This window comes from Homo sapiens, chromosome 13 (assembly GCF_000001405.40).
Source record: "Homo sapiens chromosome 13, GRCh38.p14 Primary Assembly".
Lineage (NCBI taxonomy): Eukaryota > Metazoa > Chordata > Mammalia > Primates > Hominidae > Homo > Homo sapiens.
The window spans coordinates 69,983,900-69,999,335 of NC_000013.11; the positions used below are offsets into that span (position 1 = coordinate 69,983,900).

The 15,436-nt window shown below is 35.0% G+C and overlaps 1 protein-coding gene across 3 annotated transcripts in view; it reads right to left on the reverse strand.

Moving 5' to 3' along the window:
- KLHL1 (kelch like family member 1) overlaps positions 1-15,436 on the reverse strand; it is a 407,856-nt gene that overhangs the window by 283,303 nt on the left and 109,117 nt on the right. Inside the window, exon 1 of one of the 3 annotated variants that reach the window (XM_017020678.3) lies at positions 10,801-11,009. The exons of the other annotated variants lie outside the window; for them this stretch is intronic. The gene's annotated coding sequence lies outside the window, so the exon portion shown is untranslated. Of the gene's footprint in view, positions 1-10,800; positions 11,010-15,436 lie in introns of those variants that run through there. 3 annotated transcript variants of the gene reach the window in all.

Here is a 15,436-nt window from a genome sequence, read left to right on the forward strand (position 1 = left end):
CTGATTTTTGACAAAGATCCCACAGTAAATGATGCTTGGAAAACTGGATATTCACATGCAGAAGAGTGAAACAACATCCCGATCTCTCACTACTTAAAGTCAACTAAAAATAGGTTAGAGTCTTAAATGTCAGACCTGAAACCATAAAATTATTAGAGGTAAACATAGGGAAAATGGTTCATGACATTGGTCTGGGCAAGGACTTTTTTGGATGAGATCTCAAAAGCACAGAAAACATATGTACAAATAGACAAGCGGGAATGGTATAGGAGTTAAAAAGAAATTATTTAGGCAGATAGTGAGGGTACGGATGTCCTTGGTAAGGTTTCTCTTTTAATAAAAAGCAGCCCCCAAATCATTTCTTTTCTGAAAAAAAGCAGCCTTTAAAATCGAGCTGCAGACATAGATAAGCAAACTGGAATCTTGCACAGGTGAATGCTGGCAATCGTGACAATAGGAAAAGACTACCTAGAGGCCAGGCATGTTCAACATGGCAGATCCATCTTCCATTTTCATTGCCAACCACGTGTACAGTAAGGAGCAGACAACATGATGCCTGCCAGATAGAAAAACTGTTTGCATAATAAAAGATTAGGGTGGGGCAGCCAGCTTCTTTGAGCTAGGTAAATGTCACACCTGGTCCAACCAATCTTTGGGCTCTATGTAAATCAGATACTGCCTCCTCTAGCTAGTCTGTAAAACCCGTGCATTTCCCAGGGGACTGGAAAACCCACTTGGGCACTCCTCTATCTCTTCAGGAGAGAGAGTTATTTTCTTTTCTCTTTCTTTTGCCTATTAAACCTCCGCTCTTAACTTCACTCCATGTGTGTCTATGTTCTTGATTTCCTCGGCATGAGGCAAGGGACCTCGAGTATTACCCCAAACAATGCCACTTCAGGTTTATATCAACCTAAAAACTTCTGTGCAGGCTGGGCGTGGTGGCTCACACCTGTAATCCCAGCACTTTGGGAGGCCAAGGTGGGCGGATCGCATGATGTCAGGAGTTCAAGACCAGCCTGGCCAACATGGAGAAACCTGGTCTCTACTAAAAAAATAGAAAAATTAGCCAGGCATGGTGGCGGGCGCCTGTAATACCAGCTACTCAGGAGGCTGAAGCAGGGAGGATCGCTTGAACCTGGGAGGCAGAGTTTGCAGTGAGCCGAGATTGCACCACTGCACTACAGACTGGATGACAGAGCGAGACTCTGTCTCAAAACAGACAAACAAGCAAACAACAACAACAACAAAAAACCTCTGTGCAAAAAAAGATCAAAAAGTGAAGAGACAGCTTACCGTGTGGGAGAAAATATTTGCAAACTATGCATCTGACAAGGGGATAACATTCAGAATATATAAGAAACTCAAACAAGTCAATAGCAGAAAACAAAGAAAAAACCAATCTGAGTGTAAAATAGGCAAAAGAACTTAATAGACATTTCTCAATAGAAGACATACAAATGGCCAATAGATATATGAAGAAAAATGAAAAATGCTCAACTTCATTAATCATCAGATAAATGCAAATCAAAATCACAATAAAATATCACCTTATAACTGTTAGAATGGTTGTTATCAAAAAGAAAAAAATATATAAAAAATACTGGTGAGAATATGGAGAAAGGGAAACTCATATTATGTTGGTGGGAATGTAAATTAGTACAGCCATTATAGACCAGTATGGAGACTCTTAAGAAAAAACAGACTACCATATGATCCAGCAATTCCACTACAGGGTATATGCCCAAAGGAAATGAGATGAATATGTTGAAAATACATCTGCAACCCCATTTTATTACAGCACTATTAACAATAGACAAAATTGCTAATCAGCCTAAGTGTTCATCAAAGGCTAAATGGATAAACAAAAATGTGATCCATATATATATATATATATTTTATATATATTTATATATTATATATTATATATATATCTTATGTGTGTGTATAGATATATATATACATAGTATTCCACTGTGTGTGTGTGTATGTATATAAGTATATATATGTAAGTTATATATATATGTAAATATATATGTATTATTTAAAGTAATATCCTCCAGGATCATTCATGTTGCAAATGACAGAATTTCATTCTTTTTTATTGATGAATAGTATTCCATTGTGTGGAATACTATTCATACCCTCCAGGATATTACTTTAAGTAAAATAAACCAAGTACTGAAGGACCAATATTACTATGTTCTCACTTATGTGTAGAATCTAAAGAAGTTGGTGTCATGTAAGTAAAGAGTAGAATAGTGGTTACCAGAGGCTGAGGAGACTGTGGGGAGAGAAGAATGGGAAGAGATTGATCAATTGATACAAAGTTAAAGTCAGGAGGAATAAGTTCTGTTGTTCCGTTGCACAGTAGGTTGACTATAGTTAATAGTAATTTATTACATATTTCGAAATAGCAAGAAGAGAGGGTTTTGAATGTTCTCATCACAAAGAAATGACAAGTGCTTGAAGTGATGGATATGTTAATTGTCCTTATTTTATCATTGCACGTTGTATACATATATGGAAATATCACACTGTACTCCAGAAATATGTATAATTATTATGTATCAATTAAAAACAAACAAAAACTTCAAACATCAAGTGAATCTAACTCTATAGTTGATATTAAACCATTCTTATTTCAACATATAATTACCATAAATTTAGAAAACTATGCGAATTACATTCTGCTGCTTGTTTTATTCTTATGGAGTGTTGCCAAAAAAAGTTCTATTATGAAAATAAGATACGCTGATGTTTGGTAAGAAATTTTGAATGTTATCCAAATATGTATATTCAGAAAAAGATTTTTCCTACCAAAGTTTTGCTTACATAATTCTATACTCTTAGAGATGAGTTAGTGTTGAGGGGACAGGAAATCAAAGGAAAAGAAATTGAAGTGATGTCAAGATACTTGATGTGTTTAATAACCTAAACTTCTGACATACTTATTATTTGTAAATATTAATATTCAAAATTGATGAGATTCCAACTTAATGATTATTGTAATAGTGATATTTTCATAATAGACAAGAAGTCTTTGTATTAGATATCCAACAGTAAATAATATTTTATGATAAATTAACTGTACTTTTTTTAGATCATGAACAAGATAAAATATATGTTTATACATATATAGCTGTACACCAAACTATTTGAAATTATCATAAAAAATTTATTATATATCATCTAAAATACCATTTCCTTTAAAATACCTTAATGTTTGCCAGAAATGAAACACATTTGCTCTACTCAAGTTCACCATTCGCAATGTATCTCTGACTACACTAAAAATACTAATTAAACCGATGGTATTATTTCTGTTTTTCAAATAAACCAGAATAGAGTGAAAAGGTAGTTACTTTCTTTTTAAAACAGAAACTCTGAGCTATGAGTATTGCTTTATAAATTCTCTAATACAATAATGAAAGAAAACTATTTTCTTGCAGCAATTACTTTGGAGAGAGAAACTCATAGAACCTCAAAATGGATACTGAAAATTACAAATGAGCTTAATGTCCTTTATTTATATTTTCAGCTATTCAATAAAAATCAGCTTTTTTTCTGCCTTCCTGGTGAAGTATCACAAAGTAAAAACATGTAAATAACTTTAATCTAGGTCAAAGGAAAGAAAAAAGGAAGTGAAAAGGAAGGGAGGGTGGAGTAAAGGGAATGAGGGAAGGAGGGACAGTGGAAGTAAAGAAGGTTGGAAGGAAGGAAAGAAGGACTACTAAAGAACTCTTTTCCATTGTTTTACCTAATGATAACAACTGTTGTGATTTCTTACACTAAAGATTTGTTTTGGCTCTCTTTGAAATTTATATGAATGACTCTTAGAGTAAAATACACAGATAAAAATAGAAACATATAAATATCTATAATAATATGGGCAATATACACATAGATATTTATACATATATAGGTATCCTTAGTACAAAAGTTTCAGAATAATGGAACTAAAATAACAATTACTATGAAAAGATACATTAAATGTAGAATAAACTGCTACTTACAAACAAGTGCAAAGACTGTGTTTTATTTCAATTTTCTTTTTTTTTAATTTATCTTTTATTTTAGGTTCAGTGGTACATGTTCAGGCTTGTTATAGAGGCGAACTCATGACTCGAGGGTTTTGTGTACAGGTTATTTTGTCACCCAGGTACAAGCATAATACTAAATAGCTTTTTTTTGGCGGGGGGAACCTCTCCTTCCTCCCATCCTACACCCTCAAGTTGGCCCCAGTGTCTGTTGTTCTGTTTCTGTCCATGTTCTCGCATTACTTAGCTGCTACTTATAAGTGAGAATGTGTGGTGGTGTTTGGTTTTCTCCTCCTGCGTTAGTTTGCTAAGAATAATGGCCTACAGTTCCTTCCATGTTCCTGCAAGGACATGACCTCATTCTTTTTCATGGTTGCATACTATTAAATGGTGTATATGTACCACATTGTCTTTATCCAGCCTATGGTTGTTTGGCATTTAGGTTGATTCCATGTCTTTGCTATTGTGAATAGTGCTGCAATAAACATATGCATACATGTGTCTTTATGGTAGAATAATTCATATTCCTTTGGGTATATACTCAGTAGTGGAATTGCTGGGTTGAATGTTAGTTCAGTTTTTAGTTGAGGAATCACCACACTGTCTTCCGCAACAGATGAAGTAATTTACACTCTCCACCAGTAGAGTGTAAGCATTCCCTTTCCTCTGCAACCTTGCTAGCATGTGTTATTTTTTGACTTTTTAATAATAGCCATTCTGACTGGTGTGAGATAATATCTCATTGTGATTTTGATTAGTATTTCTCTAATGATTAGTGATATTGAACATTTTTTCATAAGTATATTGGCTGCAAGTATGTCTTCCTTTGACAAGTGTCTTCATGTCTTTGCCCACTTTTTAATGGTGTTGTTTGATTTTTGTGTGTGTGTTTATGTTCCTTATAGATTGTGGATATTAGAGCTTTTGTCCTTTTGTCAGATGTATAATTTGCAAATATTTTCTCCAATTCTGTAGGTTGTCTGTTTGTTCTGTTGATAGGTTCTTTTGCTGTGCAGAGGCTGTTTAATTAGATCTCATTTGTCAATTTTTGCTTTTGCTGAATTTGCTTTTAGCATTTTAACGATGAAATCTTTGAGAGTTTCTATGTTCAAAATAGTATTTTCTAGGTTATCTTCCAGGATTTTTATAGTTTTATGTTTTACATTTAAGTCTATAATCTGTCTTGAAATGATTTTTGTATATAGTGTAAGGAAGGGGTCCAGTATCACTTTTCTACATGTAGCTATCTAGTTATTCCAGCACCATTTATTGAATAGGTAATCCTTTCCCCATTGCTTGTTTTTGTCACCTTTGTCAAAAATCATGGTTGTAGGTATGTGGCTTTATTTCATGGCTCTATTCTGTTCCATTGGTCTATGCGTCTCTTTTTGTACTAGTATCATGTTGTTTTGCTTACTGTAGCATTGTAGTATGGTTTGAAGTCAGGAGTCAGGCAGTATGACTCCTCTAGATTTGTTCTTTTTGCTTAGAATAGTTTTGAGTATTCAGGCTCCTTGGTTCCATATGAATTTGAGAATTAGTTTTTTTAGTTCTGTGAAGAATATCATTGGTAGTTTGATGGGAATAGCATTGAATCTATAAATTGCTTTGGGCAGTATGGCCTTTTTAATAATATTGATTCTTCCTATCCAAGGATATGAAATATTCTTCCATTTGTTTATGTAATTTATGATTACTTTGAGGAGTGTTTTGTAATTCTCATTGTAGAGATCCTTCACTACCCTGGTTAGCTGTATTTCTAGGTATTTTATTTTATTTTTTGGCAACTGTGAATGAGATTGCCTTCCTGATTTGACTCTTGGCGTGGGTGTTGTTAGTGTATAGGAATGCTACTGATTTTTGTATATTGATTTTGTATTCTGAAGCTTTGCTGAAGTTGCTTATCAGCTCAAGGAACTTTGAGGCAGAGACTATGGGGTTTTCTAGATATAGAATCATGTAACTTGTAAACAGGGATAGTTTGATTTCCTCTCTTCCTATTTGGATGCCTTTTATTTCTTTCTCTAAGTCTAGAGACTTGATCAGCAGAAACCCTACAAGCCAGAGGAGATTTGAGGCCTATATTCAACATTCTTAAAGAAAATAAATTCCAACCAATAATTTCATATCTGGCCAAACTAAGCTTCATAAGCAAAGGATAAATAAGATCCTTTATAGACAAGCAAATGCTGAAGGAATTTGTTATCAACAGAACTGCCTTATAAGAGCTCCTGAAAGCAGCACTAAAGATGGAAAGACCATTACCAGCCACTATGAAACACACTTAAGTACACAGACAGTGACCTTATAAAGCAACTACACAGGCAAGTCTGCATAATAACCAGCTAACAACACAATGCCTGGATAAAATCTACACATATCAATACTACCCCTGAATGTAAATGGGATAAATGTTCCAATTAAAAGGCAAAGAGTGGCAAGCTGGATATAAAAGCAAGAGCCAGGGGTATGGTGTCTTGAAGAGACCCATCTCATCTGCAATGACATGCATAATCTCAAAATAAAGGGATGAAGAAAAATCTACCAAGCAAATGGAAAACAGAAAAAAGCAGGAGCTGTAATCCTAATTTCAAGCACAAAAGACTTTAAACCAACAAAGATCAAACAAGGCAAAGAAGGGCATTACATAATGGTAAAGAGTTCAGTTGAACAAGAAGACCTAACTATCCTAATTCTATATGCACCCAACACAGGTACACTGATTCATAAAACAAGTTATTAGAGTCTTAGATTCACACATAGTAATGATGGGAGACTTCAACACCCTGCTGACAGTATTAGACAGATCATTGAGGCAGAAGATGAACAAAGAGATTCAGGACCTGAACTCAACACTTGACCAAATGGACCTAATAAACATCTCCAGAACTCTCCACTCAGAGATGACAGAATATATACTTTTTGTTGTCACACGGTACATGCTCTAAAGTCAACCATGCAATTGGACATAAAACAACCCTGAATAAACTCAAAAAAACTGAAATCATACCAACCACACTCTTGGACCACGGAGCATCAAAATAGAAATGAAGGTCAAGAAAATTGCTCAAAACCATACAATTACATGGGTATTAAACAACGTGCTTCTGAAAGATTCTTGAGTAAATTAGGAAATTAAAACAGAAATGAAGAAGTTATTTGAAAGTAATGAGAACAAAGGTACAACATACTAGAATCTCTGGGACACAGCTAAGGCATTGTGAAGAGGAAAATTTATAGTACTAAACACCCATATATAAAAGTTAGAAAGGTCTCAAATTAACAACCTAACATCACAATGAGGAGAACTAGAAAAACAAGAGCGAACCAACCCAAAGGCTAGCAGAAGACAAGAAACAACCCAAATCAGAGCTGAACTGAAGAATATAGAGACACACAAAAAAAGCACACAAAAGAACAGATCTAGGAGTTGGTTCTTTGAAAACAACAACAATGACAACAACAACAACAACAAAAAACAGGATAGGCTGCTAGCTAGACTAATAAAGAAGAAAAGAGAGAAGATCCAAATAAACACAATCAGAAATGACACAAGAGACGTTACCACTGACCCCAAGAAATACAAATAACCATTAGAGACTGCTATGAACATCTCTGTGCACACAAACTAGAAAAGGTAGAAAAAATGGATAAATTCCTGGACATATACATTGAATGAATCCCTGAACAGACCAATAATGAGCTCTGAAATGGAATCAGTAATAAATAGCCTATCAACCAAAAAAAAAAAGCCTGGGACCAGATGGATTCACAGTCAAATTCTACCAGAAGTGCAAAGAGGAGCATTCCTACTGAAGCTATTCCAAAAAATTGAGGCGGAGAGACTTCTCCTCAACTCATTCTATGAAGCCACTCAAGTGAGAGCCAGAGATAAACATGATAGGAGAATTTATTAATATAAAGCATAAGGGCATTTTATATATGAATTATTTTAAATTATTTTACCCACTTCTGCACAAAATGTACTTTCCATTTTGTTAATATTAAAGCTATAGTTCTTGAAGTGTTGTCCCTGAACATCAACATCAGCTGTGAACTTGCTAGGAATGCAAAGTACTAGGCACCACCTCAGACCTAATGAATCAAGCCCTCTGGGAGGTTCTGTTGGATGCTCAAGTTTGAGAATCACTGACACAGAATATTAGTATATGTCCTGGCCAGAAACTTCGAAATCTACTGAAACACTTCATTTTATGAAATTATTTTAAATTTATGTTATTTTATAATTGAAATATTTGTGTCATTTTTTTCTAATAATCCATTTAGTTAAATTTGCCACAAATGTATTGAGTGCCTACTCTCAGGGCTGATATTCTAGGACTGAAAGACCTAAAGATAAACATATTACAATCTCTTTTGAACAACTCAGAGCAACTAGTTGTTTGGGGAAGACTAATAATGACCAAAAGAACTAACTGATAAGTGCTGACATAATATAATTTGGGCTCTGAATTAAGAAAGGAAGCTGAACCACCTGAATTTGCATACAGATTGTATAAATAGAAGGAAGGCTGTGTGGAGAAATATGTGCCTTAGCTAGACTTAGAGTATAAGCGGATGGTTGATGTTACTACAATCTACTTTGTAGATGAGGAGACCAAAACACAGAAGGCCAAAAAATTCATATGAGACCATAAAACTAGAAAATAATTAGTCTGGAATTCAAGTCAATACTTCTGGATACAGAATGATCCTTTATCTTTCCTTATTTTACTTCATTATTCCAAAAGGTAAAGAAACCAGCTAAAGAAACATGATTAGTGAAAGCCTGAACCAAGAACTACATTCAGACTCCCTCATTCTTATACTAACGCTCTTCCTTTGATCCAATATGTCATTGCAAGACAACTCACAAAATAAGATATAAAATGAATTACTTAAATAAATTAGTGAAGAAAGGCATATAGTCAATATGAGATAATGTTTTTCCTTTTTTACTCTTTGTATATAAATATGCTGCAGAGGGAAAAAAAAAACATGTACCTTTCTTACAGTGTCAGTAACTCAGCTGAAATTTTAAAATCATATTGATTAGTAAATCATCCCAGATAAAAATTAAACTGCCATAAGCAGGCCTAATCATTTTTAGTGTCAACTAACACTATTTATTTGCCTATATATACATATATAATTTTTCAATCTTATATTGAATGAATGTCATGTTGGACCCCTATTGACTTCAATAGGAATAACACTACGTTCTAGAGGCTGAAGAAGAGACCAGAACCAATGAATGAGATATAGGGTTTATCAAGGGGAACTTACAAACAAGGATGGTCCAGTGTCTGGGAGAGCCATAGCAGAACCACCACGCTTGTAAACAGCATGCAGTTTATATAGCATTTTCACTTAGCAATCTTCACCTAATAACCTCCACCTGGCAATCTTCATTTAACTCCAAATGAAGGAGCTTCATCCCCTGTACAGCCTGCATTCCATGGGATTGGATGGGGTTCCTCATAAATAAGGAATCAATCTCCAGGCTGGTCACTCCTGGATTCTTTAGTTCAGGACTCTAAACACACTTTTGAACAACGAAGAATGAAAAAGAGGTCGGTGTATTATTTTTCCCATTCCCTTAATCATATGAAACTTTCCCTTCATATATTCCTCCAAGAGCTAGTCTGTCCAACACAGTCACTCCATGTTGCCATGCTGACTGTGAATTCCAGGTATATTATTTCTTCCCCTTCTCCCTTCAGGCCTAGAGGTAGTAATGGACTCCATTTTTCTCATCTGGATGCCTTATTATTTAATTTGTTCCCCAAATACTGCAATATCTAGGTAAAAAATTTCTTCATTAATTATGTTCATTGGAAACAACCATGATGAATTTCCTCAATGTAAATACATTTTCCAATTTGAGTGTTTGGTACTAGGGATGACCCCAAGATACTGGCATCAGAATGGGAATTTGAAAGCCTAACATGTTTGAGAAATATAGAGATCACATTTATTCAAAATATCCAGAGTAGAGACATGGAATATAGAGCTGATAAAGGACAAAGATTTGGGTCATTAACTAGATGTTTAAAAAATGCTTTAGCAACAATGGAAGTTATAAAGAGTGTAGATTGGGATTGAGAATGTACAAAGGACTAATGATAAGCTTAGGGCCTATGACTCCAAATTCAAGGCACAGATAAAGAACTGGGAAGCTTTTATGACCTAAAATATCTTTTATCTCTAGTAGCATCGGGACAAGCATATGGAAGAATCAGGCCCCAAATCTAACAGTGATATACAACATAATGCCTGTTTACTACACAAGATCATAAAATTATGCTATTAATGAGGCCTGGTTGGGTAGGAGTGGAGCTCTGAGACTTGGAGACAATTAGAGGGCATGAACAAAGCCAAGAAACTTGAACTCTTTCCTTAAGCCTTCTTTGATTGCAGAAGCATCACTTCCTCCAATGAGGAAACCTGCCTACTCTTGAAGCTAATCTCTTCAAAACCCTCACCAGGATTTTACCAGGAGCAGATACTTTGCAATATGATGCCTATTTTTCCTTAGGACCTGTCCTCCTATGCTTCATTCTCTATAGGCTTACTCCTTCTATTTATGCCCAAAGGGAAAATCACAAGTTCTGCACTTACAAGATATATCACACATCAAATAAATTACAGTATTGTACTAATGTATATGGAAAAGTACATTGGGAGTACCTATAGGAAAAGATTCAAAGGGTATCAGATTAAGGTTGAACTGGGTGAAATGAATTGGTATGGTTCTACTTACCAAGAATCCAGAGGAGTGGATCTAAATCTTGTAGGGGTTAACGTAAGCCTCTATTAATCGGAGTTCTAGAATCTGTAATGCTAATATTTCCCAGGAATACTGTAGAGGAAAAATTTTTTTAAAAAATACTAATATATATGGCAATTATGCAGTGAATCTAACAAGGCCAAACCATTATGACATTTTAAGACATTCACTGACAAGAAAACCTATAGTGAACTTTTAAAGCTCTCTGCTAAGCAAACTATAGACTCTGATGACACTAGTGAATTGAGCTCTTTGGTATCTATATCAACAATGTACCAAAGACAGTGTGGACACGAGTGTCACTATAGATCCCTGCCAGTAGCCCAGTTAAGCCAGTCGCCTTTTAAGGATAAAGAAAGTTTTATTGTAATATAGCAGCATTCATTTGATTATGCATTATTTATTTTTGGTTTCTTTTGACAACAACAAAGTCAAGTAATTATGACAGAGACCATATACCCCACACTCCCAAGGCCTACACTATTATTTACTATCTGGTATTTTACCCAGAAAAAGTTTGGTGGTTCCTGTTATGATTCCAAGGGTAGAGTGTTGATTTACGTGTGTATATACAACTCCAGAGGTAAAAAAAATTGATCATGAGGTATGAATGTATGAAGGTATCATGTATGAAACAGCTGAACAGTCCACTGAGTTATTACTTGGTCTATTTAATTAGAAAATGTATAGATCTTTTGTGTAGAAATCTGCATTGAGTCATCATGTATTATTATGCTCTCTCTCCAAGTTATTTTATTTAAATTAGTTCAGAAATTCAGAAGCTTCACTGATTATAAGGCTGGATTCTTTAAGAAAGAATGCTGTAAAATTGCTGCAAATCTATAATGGAAATATTTATCCATGCTTTTCACAAGCATTAGATATTGGAAAATGAAAAATACCAAAAGCATTCCAGGAGTTATTAAATGTGATCCCTGAATTGAAGTAAGTACCTCACAATCCTAAAATGCCACAATATCCAGCAGCAGAGACTAAACCTTTGAAAGCCAGGTAATAAATTGTATATTTGCTCACATCCATACCCTGGTGTGTTCCACCAGATGAATAGGCTAAACCTAGTTATTTCCTCAGTCTCAGAATACATAGTTGGAAAAGATATATCAGAAACTGTCACAATTCTCATATTGAGGTCTCGACCCACACAGAGTCAGGTGTATTAAGAAAGAATGTGTCAATTGAACTATCACCAGGCACCTAACACAGTGCTACACAAAAAGCTATACTGCATTCATAAGCACTTTTCAGATATCAGCATCACATTCAAAACTTGAAATAGGCCTGACGTGGTAGCTCACGCCTGTAATCCCAGCACTTTGGGAGGTCAATGCGGGAGGATCATGAGGTCAGGAGACTGAGACCATCCTGGCCAACATGGTAAAACCCTGTCTCTACTAAAAATACAAAAATTAGCTGCGCATGGTAGCATGTCCCTATAATCCCAGCTACTCAGGAGGCTGAGGCAGGAGAATCGCTTGAACCAGGTTGTCAGAGGTTGCAGTGAGCCAAGATCGCACCATTGCACTTCAGCATGGTGACACAGCGAGACTCCGTTTAAAAAAAATAAAATAAAAAAATTTAAAAAAGCCTTGAAATATTAAAGAGTAGAGATTCCATTATATTACAAATTAATTTATTTGGAAGATAAAAATGTCAGATGGATTTCAGACAATAACTAGATTATCACTAATATAATCAGGCAATGAAGATAATTGAAGCTGATACTCCAGATGTGATATTTTTACATCAGAAAATCCACATATCCCTTGAAACTTAGTGTGAAGCTGTCAACTTCCCATAACACTTTGTAAAAAGAAGCAACATTATTAGGGGAATCTAAACTTGTTTATGTTCTGCTAAAGGGGAGAAAAGCTTCACTTCAATGTTTTGCTACAGAAGAATCACAACTCTCCTTTTCCATATATTTAGGAAGAACTTTAATTACCTTGATAATGCATATACCAACACACTTTTCCATATGTGATATTGCGATTATTAAATGTAGAGGGCAAAAAACAGCAAGTATGCTAGATGTCTTCATTGTCAGAGGGTAGGAGATAAATCTTACAAACTTTAAGTGGCCTATGACATTGGTGAAAGTAAGTATACAAATTTGACTGTGTTAAGAAATTGCCTTTATGAAAAGTTCTTATTTTATTCATTAAATTTTTTTTTTTTTTTTTTTTTTTTTTTTTGGCTGGCACAGTGACTCACGCCTGTAATCCCAGCACTTTGGAAGGCAAAGGTAGGTGGATCACCTGAGGTCAGGAGTTCGAGACCAACCTGGTCAACATGGTGAAACCCTGTCTCTACTAAAAGTACAAAAATTAGCTGGATGTGGTGGCGCATGTCTGTAGTTCCAGCTACTCTGGAGATTGAGGCATGAGAATCACTTGAAACTGGTAGACAGAGGTTGCAGTGAGCCAATATCACGCCACTGCACTCCAGCCTGGGCTACAGAGTGAGACTCTGTCTCAAAAATAAATGAATAAATAATAAAATTAATTCTTATTTTATTCAAATTTTATTTTTTCTTTTTTATTTTTAATTAGTTAATATTTTGGTAAGAATATTCAAGGTGAAATATGTCTTTCATCAAATTGTTGAATGCACAATGCAGTATTTGGTAACTATAGGTACGACGTTGCACAGAAGATGTCTACAAGATGTTCATCTTGCATAACTAAATACTTATGTCCATTAAACAGCTACTCCCCATTTTCTCTCCCTTCTAGCCACGGGAAACCACCGCTTTCCTCTGTTTCTATGAGTTTTACTGCTATAAATTCCACTTATAAGTAAAATTATGTAGTACTTGTCCATCTGTGACTGGCTTATTTCACTTAACATAATGTCTTCCAGATTCATCTATGTTGTTGTATATGCCAGGATTTCCTTTTCTTAGCTGACTAAATAATATATTATATATAATATTACTTATATATATAATATAAATACATTGATATTACATAAACATATGTATTAATAAACATATTTATATTATATGAATATAAATATATAAATGTATAATATAATATATAATATGTATTTTATATCTCACCTATTCTTTATTATATATATATCTCACATATTCTTTATTTATTATTCTGTCAATAGATATTTAGGTGTTTCCATATCTTGACTGCTGAAAATAATAGTGCAATAAACATAGGAGTGCACGTGTCTCTTCGAGATCCTGATTTCAATTCTTTTGGATATATACACAGAAGTGGGATCACTGAATTACATGATAGTTCTACTTTAATGTTGTGAAGAACTGCAATACTGTTTTCTATGGTGATTGCACAATTTTACACTAAGAAAAAGGCACAAGTTTTGATAGGTCCTTTACTGAAGACATTGCATGTAAAATGTAAGTGTTCTCCATCCACCAATTTACCAATAAGCTCACTGGTCTACCACTTTTGCCTCAGTTCCAAAGCAAGAGAAGCCTCTGCTTTAGGTCTGAGATTTTGGACATGGTGTTCTGCAACTTTGGCATTAGGAGGCAGAAGATCAAATAGTAGTAGAAATATTAATGACTGATAGGAATGATCTATTGATTCTCTAGCTAGCCCACTTGGAGAATTAGAGCTCACACAATGGGAGCTCCCATTGTGTGGGAGCACAATTATACTTCAACTTCCAATAAACATTGTCTGAGAGTCATCTCCTAAGAGAGAATGGGGACTAGGAATCAACTGTGACCCCATTAACTGACTATGGCTCACATAATCTTAGAATATGTACATCCGCATTCCATCATTACACACAAATTGTATATCTGAGAAAGAGTGAACAGGTCTAGAAGTAAATCACATGGAAATGTAACTCAATCCCCTTGGTACTTATTTCTCCTGTTTCATCACTTCTACCTCAATCAATAACTAGGACCTTAATTAGTTTGCTATTAATAGTAATGGATGACTACAGACTTATCGACTTTAAACAACTAATTTCTGTAGGCCAGTAGTTCAGAAATCGGTTCTCTGATGGCTTGGGTTGTCTGGTCATCGTCTCAGAAGGCTGCAATAAGGTTGTTGGCCAGACTACATTCTAGTCTGAAGGCTCAACTGCAAAAGAGTATGCACCCAAGCTCACCCATTTTGTTGGAAAAGTCATTTTTTTGTGTCTCTAGAGCTGAGGACTCTGGCTTCTTAGTGGCTTTAATCTGGGGGATGCTTTGACTTCCCACATGACGTCTCCAGGTCTTGTATGACACTCTCACCCACACTTCTAGAGGTCCTAGAGGTCACTGACACTTCTTTTCAACATAGGCTTCCTGAACATGGCTGTTTTCTCCATCAAGTAAGCACAGAGGATCTCTAGAGTGAATCTAATAACAGGATATATTATCTACATGTATTATGTAATGTAACATATGTATTATGTAGCATATGTATATGTATTATGTATTATGTACATGTATTATATAATGTAACATAATCACAGGATTGTCACTGTAACATCTTTGTCATGTTATATGGGTTAGAATCATGTCTCAGGTCCTGCCCATACTTAAGCAGAGGGCTTAAATGAGAGCATGATTACCGGAAGGCGAAGATCATCGGTGGTCACCTAAGTCTATGGC